This window comes from Homo sapiens, chromosome 15 (genome assembly GCF_000001405.40).
Source record: "Homo sapiens chromosome 15, GRCh38.p14 Primary Assembly".
In the NCBI taxonomy this organism is placed as follows: domain Eukaryota; kingdom Metazoa; phylum Chordata; class Mammalia; order Primates; family Hominidae; genus Homo; species Homo sapiens.
Genome location: NC_000015.10, coordinates 43,735,710 through 43,735,933, shown reverse-complemented (window position 1 = coordinate 43,735,933; position 224 = coordinate 43,735,710). Strand labels below are relative to the sequence as shown.

The 224-nt window shown below is 47.3% G+C and overlaps 1 annotated feature.

Moving 5' to 3' along the window:
- Positions 151-200: an enhancer, noted in NCBI's record as "active region_9320". NCBI's record gives its function as "activates an Ori minimal core promoter by ATAC-STARR-seq in GM12878 lymphoblastoid cells {active_cell/tissue: GM12878}" and the evidence as "EXISTENCE:reporter gene assay evidence [ECO:0000049][PMID:35858748]".

Sequence of the window (224 nt, the reverse complement as noted above, 5' to 3'; positions counted from 1 at the left end):
AAATTGCCGGGCTTGGTGGTGTGTGCCTGTAATCCCAGCTACTCAGGAGGCTGAGGCAGAAGAATCACTTGAACCCAGGAGGCGGAAGTTGCAGTGAGCCGAGACTGCTCCACTGCACTCCAGCCTAGGCGACAGAGTGAAACTCCGTTTAAAAAAAAAAAAAAGAATATGAAACAAATCTGGATGGGTCAAAGAAGGCAATGAAACGTCCTGTGAAATGTTAT